This window comes from Homo sapiens, chromosome 3, assembly GCF_000001405.40.
Source record: "Homo sapiens chromosome 3, GRCh38.p14 Primary Assembly".
Classification (NCBI taxonomy): Eukaryota; Metazoa; Chordata; class Mammalia; order Primates; family Hominidae; genus Homo; species Homo sapiens.
In genome coordinates this window covers 31,476,570-31,493,342 of record NC_000003.12, presented here as the reverse complement: position 1 = coordinate 31,493,342, position 16,773 = coordinate 31,476,570, and the positions used below count along the sequence as shown (strand labels likewise).

General features: G+C 40.3%; 2 annotated features.

Moving 5' to 3' along the window:
- Positions 3,713 to 3,882: an enhancer, noted in NCBI's record as "experimental_69494 CRE fragment used in MPRA reporter constructs". NCBI's record gives its function as "activates a minimal promoter by MPRAs in K562 erythroleukemia cells, with activity observed for both the introgressed and non-introgressed 3:31531038 variant alleles {active_cell/tissue: K562}" and the evidence as "EXISTENCE:reporter gene assay evidence [ECO:0000049][PMID:34662402]".
- Positions 6,232 to 6,526: an enhancer, noted in NCBI's record as "tiled region #4459; HepG2 Activating non-DNase unmatched - State 3:PromF, and K562 Activating DNase matched - State 5:Enh". NCBI's record gives its function as "activates a minimal TATA promoter and a strong SV40 promoter by Sharpr-MPRA in HepG2 and K562 cells {active_cell/tissue: HepG2 | K562}" and the evidence as "EXISTENCE:reporter gene assay evidence [ECO:0000049][PMID:27701403]".

Here is a 16,773-nt window from a genome sequence, read left to right as displayed (position 1 = left end):
ATGCAGTGTTAATTAAAATGTGGACTCTGAACTACCTGGGGTAACTTGTAAACATAGATGACTGCATCTCACTGAGACCCTCTGAATCAGCCTCTCTGGTGGAAGGGGCCTAGGAATCTACACCCCAAGTGATTCTAATGTCTACTAAGAGTTTGCTGCTTAAAGTGCAGTACAGAGCTAGCCTCACCTGGGAGCCTGTAAGAAATACTGAATCTCAGGCCCCACTTCAGACCTATTGAATGAGAATCTGCCTTTTCAGATGATCTCCCAGAAGACTCTGCTGCATGTTACATTTGAGAAGCACTGGCCTCCCTAAGGGATTGAGAACCATTAAGCCCAAATTATGCTCTTCTTGACAGATTCTGTGAGATGGGGGATGTGAGGGATGACAGGATACAAATAGTATTCTTTGGATGCCCAAGTGATACAGCATGGCACACACAGGCCCTCTTCAGGGGCTCAGAATGACTCCAATGCAGTGAGGACACCAAGGAAGGTGGTATCACTCTGTAATCTCCAGGGATGGTGTCCTCGAATACTTTTGGAGGCAGCACAGACATCCTGAACTTGGAAGTTCAAGATACCTCCTGGCAGCACTGACGTGGGGAGGTACCCTCAGATGGCTTCCTAGGTGGCAGACATCTTGGAGGGAAACTGGAGCAGCGGGAAAGAATGGTATCACATGTTAACAGTAGCTGAAGACTTCAGGAATGTATGTGCAACAACCCCTCCTGATTCCCAGGGGGAACAGGGTGAAACTTCGGGGCTTTGAAGTTCACCCTGACAGTCTGTGTAATATCCGTGGAGACAAGGACTGGTGAATACATGCTCATGGGCAGGTTACATTATAGTTAGGCATACTAAATAAATATAATTAGAGGAAGTGTTTATGTGGCCCAGTGGTTCTCAATTAGGGGAAATTTTGACCCCCACAGGGCATTTGGCAATGTCTGGAGACATTGGCATCTAGTGAGTAGAGGCCAGAGTATACTGCTAAGCCTCCTACAATGCTTACATAGCACAGCTCCTATAACAAAGGATTATCTGGGCCAAAATGCCAATAGTGCCCAGGTTGAGAAACTGAATCATATCTCAAAGTGAGATTTATATAAAAAAGCAGTATTCCCTATTGATCTTAACAACCACTGGGTGATATTTAAAGATCTACCATGGAGGGCTAAGCCTGCAAACTGCACACACTTTTGGCTAGCCATCGAGTTAACTAGAGCATTATCTCAAATTGACTGTTTGTCCACATACCTTGGCAGACACTGAAGTTAAGCTGATCAATCTCTAATATCCAGGAGAGTCTTCTGGGATTTTAAAATCAATGGGCACTGTATTTGTCATTTTTTTTAGGTGTTTCTTTTCAGTGCTATCAGTTATAAAAAATAATGACAAGTGACTCCGCAGTAATGCCAGCAGTTTCTGTTGTGCTCCAAGAACTGTGTTATCAGGACCCACCACTCAGAATACTCCAGTTTTATCACATACTCCGCCTCTGGGCTGTAGTAGAGGAGGCAGTAATTATCTATCACATGCTTGCACCCAGCATTTGCTCTTCCTATCTGATCAACTTAGAGCTTAAGAAAAAAATTATATATATATGTATATATAAAATTTTTGGGCCGGGGGCGGTGGCTCACGCCTGCAATCCCAGCACTTTGGGAGGCTGAGGCGGGCGGATCACGAGGTCAGGAGATCGAGACCATCCCGGCTAAAACGGTGAAACCCCGTCTCTACTAAAAATACAAAAAATTAGCCGGGCGTAGTGGCGGGCGCCTGTAGTCCCAGCTACTTGGGAGGCTGAGGCAGGAGAATGGCGTGAACCCGGGAGGCGGAGCTTGCAGTGAGCCGAGATCCCGCCACTGTACTCCAGCCTGGGCGACAGAGCAAGACTCCGTCTCAAAAAAAAAAAAAAAAAAAAAAAAAAAAAAAAAAAAAATTTTTGGAATAACCAGTTACTAGTTTTTTAAATCCTATTACAAGTGGGCAATATTGAGAACTCACAGAATAAAGTAAAGACATGATTCTAGGAAGTCAAACTTCTCGGCAGGGGAAAGAATACACTTTCTAGGGAGGACTATTGACCTCAGCAAAAACCAACCAAGAGACACATGAAAGTAAAAATCATATTTATTTTGTTTGTTTCAAGGAAAGAAGAATGTAAAGATTAAAGAGGAAACATACTGTAGATAAGATAGCACTGGAGTTTCAATCAGACAGACTTTGGTGTAGATCCTGTCTTTACAGCATTCCAGCTGTGTGTCTGTGGGCTTATTTCTTACTCTCAGTTTCCATTTTGGTTAAAAAAAGGGGTAATACTACTGCTTATCTTACAGGATTGTGCATTGGTTAGCTACTGCTATATAACGAAAGCTACAGAATCTCAGTGGCATAAAACAACAAGCCTTTATTTAGGTTATGCATCTGGAGAGCTGGGGTCAGCTGGAAGTTGGCTAATCTGGGTTGCAGTGGCTTTGTTTTCTGAGAGATTCATCCTTCTCCTGGAACCAGAGGCCTAGCCTGTGAGTTTTTCACATGGCATGGCAGAAGTGCAAGAGGGCAAGCTCAATAGTGAAAGCGTAATTCAAGTTTCTGCTTGTTTTGTCTATGCTACCATCCCATTGGCCAAAGCTTGTCACATGATTGAGACCAATGTCAAGGGGCAGGGAAGTACATCCTGCCCAATATTGAAGCCACAGCAAATCATTTAGGCAAACCCAACATCACTGGAGCAAGAAGTATCCTCTCCCATGAAAGTGAAGGGGAGGGAGTGAATATTTCTGAACAATATCTAATTGACCACAGGCTGTTAAGATGATTAAATGAATTGATGTCTGCAAAGCGCCTTGCCTAATGTCTGATACTAAAATGTTTAATAAATGGTTGTTCCTTTCTCCTCCTCCAAACTCGGACTTCACAATAAAGAATGGGAAATATAAACTTCAGAGATACAATAACTATTTTAAAATAAACTTGAATTCTGTATTATGATCAGTTGTGAGAGAAAGAATGATAAGAGAGAGGAGATATTCAGGAAAATAATAAAATAGAAGAATGATGGGAGAAAGAAATAATACCTCCTTAAATTTTGAAGAGGTAAGGAAGGGGATAAATAAGTAATATATCTATAAATGAAAAACAGAATACATATAGAAATATAGCCACAGAACAGTAGAACAGTACAAAGAAGGTGGAAGGGAAAATTACTTATCAAGAGAAACACCAGGATGTAAGGGGAGCTTTTTCAAAATACATGCACCTTTTTTCTCTCCTCTACCTCCCAAATTCTGAATTATATATGAAATTCTGTTATTCACATGGAGTAGGCTGGGAAAAAGAGAAGTAAGTGTTCATAGTTTTATCACTTCTTGCCAAGGTTCTATAAAAGACTAATTAGAGTTTTAACCATTGTCTATCAAGTCACAGAGTGAACTTTATTCTTGATGCTTCCAAAGGCTCTAATCTTTGTGGGGTTATTATTGCCACCTACCAGATGAGCCATCATTTTCTGGGAATGTAGTATGAAGGACAGAGAAATAATACCACAGGGATCAAGTGAAATTGAGTTGGGTTTTTTCATTGTGATGACTTGGTCTATGCAGAAAAAGAATATTGTCAGCATAACACATTTGATCATACAGTATTTTATATTATCTGACTTCTTGGTATTCTATGGTAGGAAAAAATTGTATAGAAATTATTTTCTAAAGGACAAGACAGCCTTCAATACAATAAGATGCCTGCAAATATCTCCTAGAAAAAGAGAAGAAAAGCTTTGGTCAAATTTGGCTTGGTTAACAACCAATGAAAAGACCCTTATTAAGATGAAAACCTTCATATTTAACCATGCCTTCCTTATGAAAAGGAATGGAAGTTGTCTTTGTGTCACCATTTGCCTAGAGAAGCAAAAATATCAAAAGTCAATCCTCTTAATTTTTCATATTGTTTGTTTCTTGCCGGTGCTCCTCTTGCTTTTTGGTCACCTTGCCAATAATCAACACATAGTAGTTGCTCAGAAATTGGAGCAAGGTCAGGAAAAGACCATTTCTGAAATTATAATGAGCGAAAATGTGACTTGTCTCAGATAGGCGTGGGCATATGGAAAAACAATCCTCTCCATACTCACATTCCTTTTTTTTTTTTTTTTTTTTTTAAAAAAAGAAAGTTTGTATTGGTTGTTGAAAAGAGAATGTTTTCTAAATATCCAGAATTGCATACCAAAAAGATAGGCCTGCGATGTAAAGATGTCAAAAAAACAATAAAAAAGAGAGAATCTCTTGAATTGTGCTGTAAACTGGTAGCCTGAGGTAAGGAGTGACTTGAAAAAAAAAAAGATTAGTCACTGAAGGTCTTTGTGTTGCCTATGGAATCTAGAAAGAGGAGGCCGGAATGCAAAAATTTTTTGGCATTTTTCTTCTCCCACTCCTCTTTGCACTTTCTCAGGCACACCAAGCTCATTCTTACCTTCTGGCCTTTCCGCTTGCTCTGCTGGTGGCCTTGTAAGTTCTTCCCTAACCTAGAGCACTTCTCACTTCCTCACTTCATTGACTTAGGGCTGCTTAATCATGGCCTCCTCACAGAAGCCTGTTCTAACCACCTGTCTTAGTCTGTCAGGCTACTATAACAAAACTACCTTAGACTGGCTAACTCGTAAACAACAGAATTTATGGCTCTAAATTCTGGAGATAAGGAAGTCCAACATCAGGGCACCAGCAGTGTCTGGTGAGGGCTCACTTCTAATAACCTTGCTGCATTCTCTCTTCTGTGGCAGAAGGGGCACACAGGCTACCTCAAGCCTCTTTTATGGGCAGCACCCTCATGACCTGACCACCTCCAAAAGGCCTCACCTCTGATTACCATCTTGTTGGGAATTAAGTTTCAACATATGAATTGGGGAAAACATCATCTTATCTAAAATTGTTCACCCTGATTCCCTCTATTTCCCAACTCAATACTAATTTTCTTCATATCACTTCCTCCTATCTGTCTTCAACATTCTATTACATACTTCTTTTGCTTATTTGTCTCCAGTGTTTTCTGCACTAGAATATAAGTTCAATGAGGGAGCTTTGTTTTGCCCACTGCTCTATCTCAGTGTCCAGGGCAGTGCCTATACCTGGCACATAAGTGAATATTTCAGTAATCTTTGTTGAATGAATGAATGCTTGATGGGAGGAAAAGATTTTGACTATTCATTATAGTTCAAAGAATAAAAATATCCCTAATGTGAAGAGGGCAATACTTTGGCTACCACAACTTTATGAAAAATTCACTTAAGTATATCCATTCATTTCTCTAATAGCCCGCTGAACCTACAGGGCATGAAGCACTGTGTGGGTGCTGTATGTGGACCTCAAAGGATTAAGACAGGGTGCATGCCCTCAAAGAATGACAACTGAGAGGTGGACTAGAATTCCCCTGTGTGATCTCTGGGGTTGCCATTCACATAGACATGACATAAATCACATTTCTCTAAAGCTACGAAGTGTACAACCTGTCCCACGGTACACAGTAGCCCTAAGAGATAGGTGTTTTTCTTCCTTTCATCTAACTGGTATTTCCTATCAATCCAGATGCCACTCAGACTTTCATTTATCCATTCAACAAACATTTATCGAACATCTACTACATATAAGTAAGTGGCTAGAAGCTGGGATGCAAAAATGATCCCCAATGATTCCCTGACTGTGGGCTGCTTCCAGTGGTGAGACAGATAAGTAAACAGGCAAATATAGCACCTGTGGTAAATATGGAGTTGGGCCTTTATAAGAGGACATAGCAGGGCCTTTCAACACTGTCCTAGGAGATAGGGGAGAATCAAGCAAGTTTTCTTGAAGGGGATAATCTCTAAGCAGAATTTCTGCAAAGAAGCATGTATACCTCTATAATTGTAGTGGTAACTGGATTTATTGTCAGGCAGTCTTTGGTTCAAGATTTTGCTTCTCACCTGTGGGATGAGTAGGAGTTCTCCAGATGTGGAAAAGAAAGCGTCTGATGGGTAAGGGGAAAGCAAGAGCAAAGGGCCAGGGTTTGGGAGTGCAGGGGACTGAGTTCAAATCTGGGCACAGACAGGGCCCAGCTCACATACGCCTCTCTGAGAAGTTTGGGCTTTATCTGCTAAACTGTTCTGGGGATCCCACTGGAGTTTACATGAGCTTCCTGGAGGAGTGTGGAGGGTGGATTGGACAGGGGTGGCGGGAAGCCTAGGAAGCGGCACCATGGATATGAAAGGAGAGAAAGAGGATAACAGACAGGGGAGAGGGAGAGAAAGCAGGCAAGACCATTCCCTGGTCTCCGGCTTGGGCTCTGTTTGAACGGTTGCATCATTTACTGAGGCAGGACAAACAGGGGAAGAGCCAGGTTAGGGTCAGGGTGAGATAAGCAGGTGAAGGGCCCCATATTGCTGATTGGGAGGTTCATTTAGGCCCTCCTACTCCGTGTCCTGTTTGCTTGTCATTTGCTTCCCTACTTACTCTCTCCCCTGCACACATACCCCTTCACACAGTGCCGTGCTAAGCCACGTTGGAGCCTGAGGCAAAAGGAAAAGGACTCTGCCTTTGTTTAACATTTTGGTATCTTGATCATCATGGATTTTTAGCATTAATTCTGATTTTAAAAATATAATATTAAAATATTATTTATCTTAATTACCGAGTTCTTGGGCACCCCCTTAAAATTTGCACCTGGGGTGAGTGCCTCCGTTGCCTCACCCTAGTCCAGCCCTGGACCCCTCCTCATCACCTATCTGCAAGCTTCTTGACCACAGAGACTAGGCCTAATTATTTTATAGAATCCATAGCACTTACCCTAGTATCTGACACATTTTACACAGTAACTTCATTGAATTAACATAAATAACGAGTTATAGAACAAGGCATTTATTTGTTCTATGAATGAGCTAGGCATTGTTCCAGGAACAAGAATGTGTAGTTTAACATAAGAGTTTACTCAGACAGGTAGAGGGGACATGGACAGGCAGCATGAGAGGAGCATGACAATAGAGACCCAGGCAGAGGCTAAGGAAGTACAAGACCTGGGGCTCATTCATTCCCTCAGGGCCTTGGAAGAAGCTTGACTTACCCAAGGAAGTGGCATTTTCTAGAGTTTGGAAAGAGAGGTAGGGCTTCCATGGTCAGTAACAGAGAAGAACATTTCAGGAAGAGGAAACAGTTCAAAAGGCATGAAGGGATGATGATGAATGACTTTCTGGGGAAATGGAGCATGTTTGGGATGTTCAGTGGGTGACACAGCCACAGGGATGGGGATGCAGTGGTCTTTTTGGTTCTGTTGGGAGCAGGAGCATGCTTGTGGAGACCCTGTGGGGTCAGGAAGCAGCCGCTCTGACTGGTGGTGGGAGGAGAACAGCTGTGGCTATGAAGGAAGGCGAGGAAACAAGAATAGAGAGAAAACAGTAGATAATAAGAGTGAGGGTGGAAGGGTCCTGGAATAGGGATGAATAGAAGGAAATTTGTATAACACTTTGTGCATTAGGATGCATAGAAACAAAACAAGAATGCCATTTTTCTATTTTGATATGCCAACATATAAATAAATTCCTAATTTATATAGTTATGCAAACAATTTATAGTGACATTAATAGAGTTCTAACACAGTAGAATTCAAAATGTAGGTGAAAAGAAGTTCGCCTACATTTTTACCACCCCGAGAAATGAGTAATTTCATTTTTGTATCTTTCCAGGCCTTTCGGGAAAGCCTATGAAATGCTTCTATCTCTGTAATCAGAGTATTGATATGATTTTATGGTCAGAGAATCATGGACTCAAGCCTTTACTCAGATCCTAGGATTCACATCTGAGTCCAGTGGATGTCATGCAATGAACACCTGTACTTCTCTTTGCAATGCCTTTAGCAAATGCATGCTAACTTTTACAACAGGACCCTGCTGAGGCAGCTTAAAGGGAAGTGGGGAAGTGAGTGTAGCCAGCAATGCTGAAGCAAGCATAAGCAAGCATGGGTGTGTGTAATCACCTTGCCAGCTCTAAGACACTAGGCCAAAAACATGCACGGAGTAGAAATAAAGGAGAAGCAAAGTAAGCAGGTTATATTGAAGTGATTGCAATTTTCCTTCTTCACTAAGGAAGCAGGATTCTTGCTTATGTGGTCTGTCCAGACTCTTCCTTTCTTATACAGAATTTGGGTATTGGGAAAAATGAACAAATAAAAAAGAAAAACAAACAAAAACAACAAAAAACTCTCAACCAACAAGATACACCATAAATACCTGAGGTGACAAAAGGGCAGGGGACACCAAGAAATGGAGTGGTTATCTGGCAAACAAACATTATATAATAGTGGTGTAGTGCTGGTAAATGCTTAATAACTGGCTTCCTGAAAACAAAACTGTGTTTGCGTGTGTGTACATACATACATATATTTATTATACATTTTTCTGTGAAGCACATAATTTATAAATTAAATATATGATATTTCTTTTTTTTGTTTTTGTTTTGAAACAGAGTCTCACTCTGTCGCCCAGGCTGGAGTGCAGTGGCATGAACTTGTGCCTCCCGGGTTCAAGCAATTCTTGTGCCTCAGCTTCCTGAGTAGCTGGAATTACAGGTGCATGCCACCGTGGCCGGCTAATTTTTGTATTCTAAGTAGACACAGGGTTTCACCATGTTGGCCAGGCTGGTCTTGAACTCCTGGTATCAAGTGATCCACCCGTCTTGTCCTCACAGAGTGCTGGGATTACAGGCATGAGCCGCCGCACTTGGCCATAAAATGTAATATTCTTTATTATAAATTCTATACAACCAATTGATCCTTATTGAATGTTTTCATTGATTTTTGCTGAATTCTTGTATTCATAGCCAACCTATGGCTGCAATTGACAAATGAATATAGTTCTAACATAAGCATCAGTTATTATTTTTGTTAATGAGTTAGACATAAGGAAATAAAACAACAAAGAATATGCTGGAACTTTACAAATTGGCCAATGATGTGAGCGAGTGACTTCTATGCTGAATCAGATAATAGCTTTTAAATGCTGAAAAAAGTATTTTATTTTTTCTTCGGAGAGAGGGTCTTGCTATGTTGCCCAGGCTGGTCTCAAACTCCTGGGCTCAAACGGTTCTCTTGCCTCAGCCTCCTTGGTAGCTGGTACTACAGGCATGTGCCACCATGCCTGGCACTTTTTAAAAAGTGGATTTTCTTAATATTTTGTGCTGTTGACAGTGTAATGGCTATAGGCATGACATGTTTTGAAGTTTAATCTGCATTATTAGCATTTTTCCATGACTTTTTAAAGTCAGAAGTCAACAGAACAATAAATCAAGTTCTGATTTGTAGTGTTTGTTGATTTCCATAGTGTAAATCCCCCAACCATGGCCAATTTCAAGGTACCAAAGTGACGTCATTGGGTGTGGAGCTGGGAGGAGATGCCAAGCAGCACATTATATAGTGTTTCTACATACAGATGTAATAGCTGTAAAGAAACTTCAAGTGTATAGATAAAATGTATAGGAAATGTATAGTAAAATGTAATAAAATAGTAAAATAACTGGAAAGTGATGGATTTTGAGTGTTTATTTAAAATGTTGGCTGGGTGCAGTGGCTCACTCCTGTAATCCCAGCACTTTGGGAGGCTGAGGCAGATGGATCACTTTGAGGTCAGGAGTTCAAGACCAGCCTGGCCAACATGGTGAAACCCGTCTCTACTAAAAATACAAAAATTAGCCGGGTGTGGTGGCGCATGTCTGTAGTCCCAGCTACTTGGGAGGCTGAAGCAGGAGAATCTCTTGAACCCGCGAGCTGGAGGTTGCAGTGAGCTGAGATAGTGCCATTTCACTCCAACCTGGGTGACAGAGCAAGACTCCATCTCAAAAAAAAGTGTTATTGAGGCATACTTGATATACAATAAGTTGCACATATTTGAAGCGTACAGTTTGATAAGTTTTGACAAATGTACACACCTGTGATGTGTACACTTCAATCAAGATGATGAATATATCCATTACTCCCCTAAATTTTCTTATGCCCTTTTGTAATCTCTTACTTTCACTACTTCTTACCCTTGCCTACTCAGGCAACCACTGATCTGCTTTTTATCACTATAGATTAGTTTTCTACAGTTTTATATAAGTAGAATCATGTAGCATATACTCTTCTTTTGTCTGGCTTCAGCATAATTATTTTGATTCACCCATGTTGTTACATGTTTATTCATCTTCCTCCCGAGTATTGTATATTTATTATCTCTGTTTATAATTTATTTCATTGCAAGTTTATATAGTTTAATCTTAAATAATGGCTATGTTTAACAGCTTGCTGGCAAAATTCCTAAAAATTTAACAATTGGCTTTTTCAAGTTAGTGCAAGCCTGCTCTGGTGGGCTGTGTGCATGTATCTGGCTTTAGACAAAGAGCTGAGAGACTTTGGGGTAGCTGCAGGGTTTGGGAGTAATTGAAAACGAATGAAAAGGAAAAGAGAATTTCTAAGTTCTTCTGTGCTCCCTATTTGGCTTTTTTTTTTTTTTCCCAAGAAACTGCAGTAAAAATGCTAATGAAAAAAATTACTTTTGAGTTGCTGGCTTTTTGTTTTAATTAATGCATGACTGGACCACAATGCAGCTACGCTTTGGGTACTTTACATGAAGGACTTTTATTACTGAAGTCTCCAAGAGAGAACTAGGAAGCCAGGGTCAACTTGCATATGATTCAAAGGGGTGAACTCTTAGAGAGGGATTTAGGGGTAATAGTTAGGCACAAGAATGCTGGAATTTGGCTGCTCATATACTAGGAAGTCATGACCACCTATTAATTCTCTCTCAAACTATACCAGACAGGCAGGAGTGTAGGAGAGGGCTTGGGCTGAGTCAGGGATAGATTGAAACTAGAGAGACATAATTTGAGATACAAAGCTCACAGTGGCCAGGCATGGTGGCTCACACCTATAATCCCAGTGCTGTGGGAGGCCAAATGGGGAGGATTGCTTGAGGTCAGGGGTTTGAGACCAGCCTGGACAACATAGCTAGACCCTGTCTCTACAAAAAAAAAAAAAAAACTTAAAAAATTAGCTGGGCATGGTGGTGCATGCCTATAGTCCCAGTTACTCAGGAGGATGAAGTGAGAAGATGGCTTGAGCTCAGGAGTTTGAGGTTACTGTGAGCTGTGATCACACCACTGCACTCCAGCCTAGGAGATAGAATGAGACTCTGTCTAAAAAAAACAAAACCCAAAACCAAAAACACTCACTGTGCACTGTCCTTGACACATCCTCAGGTAGAGGACAGGTGTGTGTGTTTTTGGGCGGGGGGGGTGGGGGGGGCAGTTATTCTATGCTTCTATGCTGTAACAAACTAAAAAGCCAGGAGAGCAGCAATAATAATATTTTTTGAGTGTTTACTACATGCGTGGCACTCAGCCAAATACTATATATTATCTGATTTAACACTCAAAGCAATCCTGAGGTGAGCAATTGTACTTGTTTTACAGGAAAGTTAAGTCTTTTTTCAGAGGTCACACCAGGGAACAGTGGAGACCATATGTGAACTCAGGTCTGTCTGATTCATCTGGTCTTATTCCTCTACACTGTACCGCCTTCTGGTTTGCAGAGCTCTAGAAAATTGAGTGTAAGGCCCTAAAATAGGAATTACAACCCTGGTTGGAAATTAGGGCCCTTCTCTAACTCAGTGACAATGTCCCTGGCTGCCTAGAGAGTATATCTGGAGGTAACATTGAAGCCCAGTCATTTGGAGTCTTTTAAACATTTTTTTATAGAAACGTGGATCCTCTCCTAAGGGCAATTGGGGTGCCATTGACAGATTTTAGTGTGGAGCAACTGGCTCAAGTATGCATTTTAAAAAAATAGGTTGGATAGTGACTGTATAAGTTGGGACAAAGACACCCCAAAATGCAAGACAGAGGTTATTTCTCTCTTGTGTAGCAGTCCAGTTGGAGGTGGAAGTCAACCTGAGATAAAATCCCAGTAAAGAACTTGGCTGATCCTGCTGCGAGTACTGAAATACAATGACTCTTCAGATTTATTTTGAGTTGGGACAAAGGAGCTGAGCCTTAAATCCCTAATTCAACCAGTAATTTGATGTGGGAATGGGATGCTGCCCTAGGGTGAGGTGGCTCTCTTCCTGGAGGAAGGCTGACTGCTAAGTGTTTCTGCCAGCAGTGCTCCCAGCAGCCAAAGTAAGAAGTCTTTTATTTTTGCAGGGGCATCTGGAAAGTGCATCAATGAATTCACCTCAAGTATACTGGTTGGTTGCAGCTCTCAAAATACAACCTGAAGAATACCAGCAGTTAAGAAGTGGGAAGAAGTAAAGGACCACAGCAGAGACACAGAAGGAATTCCTAAGAGGTCAAATCCAGAGATGATCAAATCATGGAAGTAAGTGAGAAATGAATGTTCAGAAAGAGTTTGTGTCAGTAGTGCTTAATGCTTCAGAGGCTGACAAGAGAAGAATTTTGCAATCAGAAAGACACTAGCAACTTTACTGAGCCATGCCAGTGGAGTGGTGGGTGCTAAAGCCAGATTGAAGGAAGGGGGAGGTTGAGGAATGAGTGGGAAGTGAGAAAGTGGGCAACCCGTTGTGGATTTTGGGTTGTGAAGAGGAGAAAGTCAGGGTGGTTATTGATTTGACAGAGTTCTTATTCTTAATTTTTAGGGTGGGAGAAATTTTAATCTGTTTATATGCCAATAGACAGAACAAAAGAGATGGAGAGGTTACAGATATGGGAGAAGTGTGGGTAATTGGTGGCAACAGGGAGCTTTCAGAACACTGGCGGGATGATTAGATTTAAACCAGGAAAGAGAAAGACTGACACTGACATTTATTTAATGCGTTCAAAATGCCAGGAACTGCGGGGTAGTTTGGCTTTATTTAATCCTTTTGACAAATTATTCCAACAATTATTTTGCAGATTAGGTTTAGAGAAGGTAAAAGGGTTGCCCAAGGTCTCACTTCTCCCAAGAAGCTGTGTCAGAATTTAAGGCTGTACTTTACACAGTGAAGGAAGCACACACCTCATCCTCTGAAATTCAAGGAATGACAAAGGATGACTGAAAATGGGCAGAATGGGATTGGATAAGGGGAAGAAGGCTGCTGTAACAAAGATATATAAAACTCTAGTGGCTTAAGTATGTTAAAATTGATTTATCCCCAAAGGAACCAGAATGAGCTGTCTTGGGATGGTAAGGTGGCTCTCCTCTATGAGGACAGTCAGAGACCCCAATTCCTTCCATCTTATTGCTTTGTAATCACCTTCTAATATCCATATGGCAGATGTTGGCTTATGTCTGTATTGGTGATATAGCCTGGGGTAAGAGAAAAAGAGTATTTAGATAGATCTTTTGGAAGACCAGAAGTTTGTCCACATCCCATTTATCTGAAGTAAGTCACATGGCCACACTTAGCTGCAAGGGAGGCTGAGAAATGTAGTTTTTTTCTCGGCGGCCATATGCCCACCTAAAACTAGGGGTTCTAAGAAAGGGGAAAATGAACACTGTGTGATCTAAGTCTTTTTATTAGAACTACTCCTAGGGAAGTCATGTGACAAAACCACAAAGGCTGTCCACATACTAGATTCTTATATAAAACAACTAATGAAAACAATATTCCGTAACAATTTTTAAAATGTGTCTTGTGGCAAGAAGTGTTTCCAGCAGACAGAGAGGATGCATTCATTGTCCTTGCTCCTGCATCATTCCTCTGTGACTCTTGGCATTTCAGCATCTTTTGACAATGGTAACAGTGTCAGAGTGGACACATGGCCAGGGCCTTTTGAGGACCAGTCCATAACTGACCATAATAGTCTGCCTGTTCTCATGAGTGGAGGGAGCCAACAGAGACTCATTTTAGAATGGAATGATGATGCTGTCTGATGGAGATAGTAATAGCCACTGAGGATGGGCCTTGGGCAACTAGTCCTCATCTTTAGCTGGTGATTGCCATAAGGGAATGTAGCTGGTGTTTTCAGAAATTTGAAATTTTCTATAGAATCTGGGTATCTGGATTTTTAGCACGTAATCTGGGTTTTTAAGCATGTAATCGTCTTATTTTTAAATGCTAGCTCAAATGTTTTAATGTAGACCAAAAAGAACATCCATATGATCTAAAAGCAGCTCTGGTCTTTCTGACTTAAACTCTCAGAACCATATTTCCTCATTTGTAATGTGGTGTCAATATCCATCTCAAAGGATTATAGGGAGGATGGAAGGAAATAGTGTATGTTCTAGGTTGACAAATATCACTGTATCTGATTTTTTTCATGATAAATCTGCATTAGAATAAGGTAATTCTCAGATCTCCTCTTAGTGGATAGGAAGTTCAGGATAGAAGTTCCAAAGGCCAAGAGGATGGAGTCTACAAGATTTACTGAAATTGGCTGTTCCGATTCATATCTTCAAAACTACCCTGATTTACATTCCCCAACATTTTCTTTTGGAGGTGTCATGGTTAAAGGTTTGAGTCTGGCTAGTGTCTTCAGCTTGGATTACAGTGATGGATAATCCGTCCTCTCTTTACCCCTTGTTAGTTGTGTGACTTTGGCTCTATTATTTAACATACCAAAGCCTTAGCTTTCTTATTTGAAAAGTGAGAATAATAATAACTTACCTCATAAAATAATTGTCAGGACTTAGTAAGATGACACATATAAACCCTAATGTATATTGCCAAGCATATAGTAAGTATTCAATAAGTATTAATTGCAATAAACTATTATTTCTTACCTAGGTGGAAGATACATAAAATAAGTTTTTTATTGTTTTGATTTTTGATAATACTTATATTTTCAAGCAAACCACCTTACTTAGTCACTGGACTGAGTAATGGATAAAATCTTAGAAAATATTGCTTAAAATATTTTTTTTGCAACTTCTAACAGTAAGAGGATAGTGTCAGGTGTAAAGAGCTCTAAAACAACAAAGTGACCTTTAAAGAAAAGCAATTTATTTATAAAATAAATCACCAAAGAAAAGAGGAGAAAGGTCTTCTTTTATATTGCTAGCAATGAATCTCTGGGCTAATGCATTGTTTTGCATGGCTTGTGCTGGTTACAGGCTGTGTATAAAAGTTTCTTATTTCAGAGCCGATGGATTTCTATGAAAAGGAATGTTGAAATTTACTACAGTAAGAGATACACAATCTGTTCTACAGAAAGCCCCACAGGCAAAAAACAGTGGATGCAAAATACAAATTGTGAATGAGTACTTCCCCTAAGTTGTCAATTAAGTTTCTTTTCAAAAATAGACACATTTACATAGGACGGTTAAAGCTATTGCTTTTTCTTATCTTTGTTGCTGTTAGTAGTAGCAGCAATAACAATAATTACTGAGGTTAATTAGGCTCTCCCTATGGGCCATATATTGAGCAAACTACATTACATGCTTTATCTCACTGAATTCTCTCAACAATTGTGTGAGTTAGGGCTATTATTATTCCCATTTTTCAGATGAGGAAACTGATGCTTTGAAATGTTATCTAACATGCCCAATTTCATTAGCTTGTAAATGGCATGGCTTGGTTTGCAACTTAGCACTGCATGGCTCCAATGCTCATGATTCTATGAGGAAATGGAAATTTCGCTGGGTGAAATGGAAAGAGAGAAAGAAAGACGTAATTTTGGAGCTTTAAGCTGTTCCCCAGAGGGTTATGTCTAAATTGGATGCCTCCTTGTGGGGCTTTCACAGACAAGGAATTGGGCTGCTGGGGGTTGAAGGGTGAGGGAGAAAGGAAGTCAGAAGGTGCCAGAAAAGAAGCAAACAAGCAGAGAAGACGTTGAAGACTTTTCAATTTTAGCAACAGTGTTGACATGTCATGCTCATCCTTTGACACCTTGACCTACTTGCTCTGACTACAAATGACTTTTATTATTGATGTTGGTGATCACCATTCTGGAATTCCTGGGAAGTCCTGCTTTCACATAGCCCGTGCAGTTGTCCTCCTATGTACATTTACACTTGTCAGACTGTGTTTGGAATTAAGATTTTGCAATTACAGGCACGGTTTCTGGAGCCCTCGGTTACAGTTCATTGACTCCAGTTGGTGAGGTGGGTACTCTGAGTGCCATCAGCCTCTATCAGGAGACAAGAACATCTTGGTGACAGCTCCGACAATCTCCCAGCCTCCTGTGGGGAGGGAATGTTGTTTAGGACTTTGCACTGTTGATTATGTTATTTATTTGCAGTGTCACCATTCTTTATTTATGTTGTTTAATCAAATAGTATAAATCCCTTTAATGATAACAATTTAACACATATCCTTACCTTGATCACCTTGAAACACAATTGGTAGTTTGAATGCATTTATCTATAACTACACAATGTTGTCCTTGACCATCTGAAAAGGAATTTTTGACAAAGAAAGTACTTTGAGTATGAAGTTGTTGACCTTGAATTGGGTAAGATAAAAACTAGACACACAACCATAAAAATAAGAGGCAGAAATATTTTTCTGTATAACAGGCTAAAAAAAATTCCCCAAAGATTATTGTCACAGTAAAACAAAAATACTATTTTCATTTTTTTCATGTTGTTTTTGGAGTCTACCAACCACATCTTATGTGTAAAGAAAAGTGGACATTGGAATATCTGGATTCTAGTTTTCATTTGGTCATTGTATCATTCAGAATTCTTTGGGTTGTAAGTTGAAGAAAAGGCAACTCAAAATCACTTAAGCAAAAAGAGAGTTTATTGCCTAAGTAATCTAGATGTTTGGGCATAGATTGGACCTAGGTACCTCAGAGCTGTAAGTTACATCATCAAGACTTAATTTCTTTCCATTTCTCAACTCTA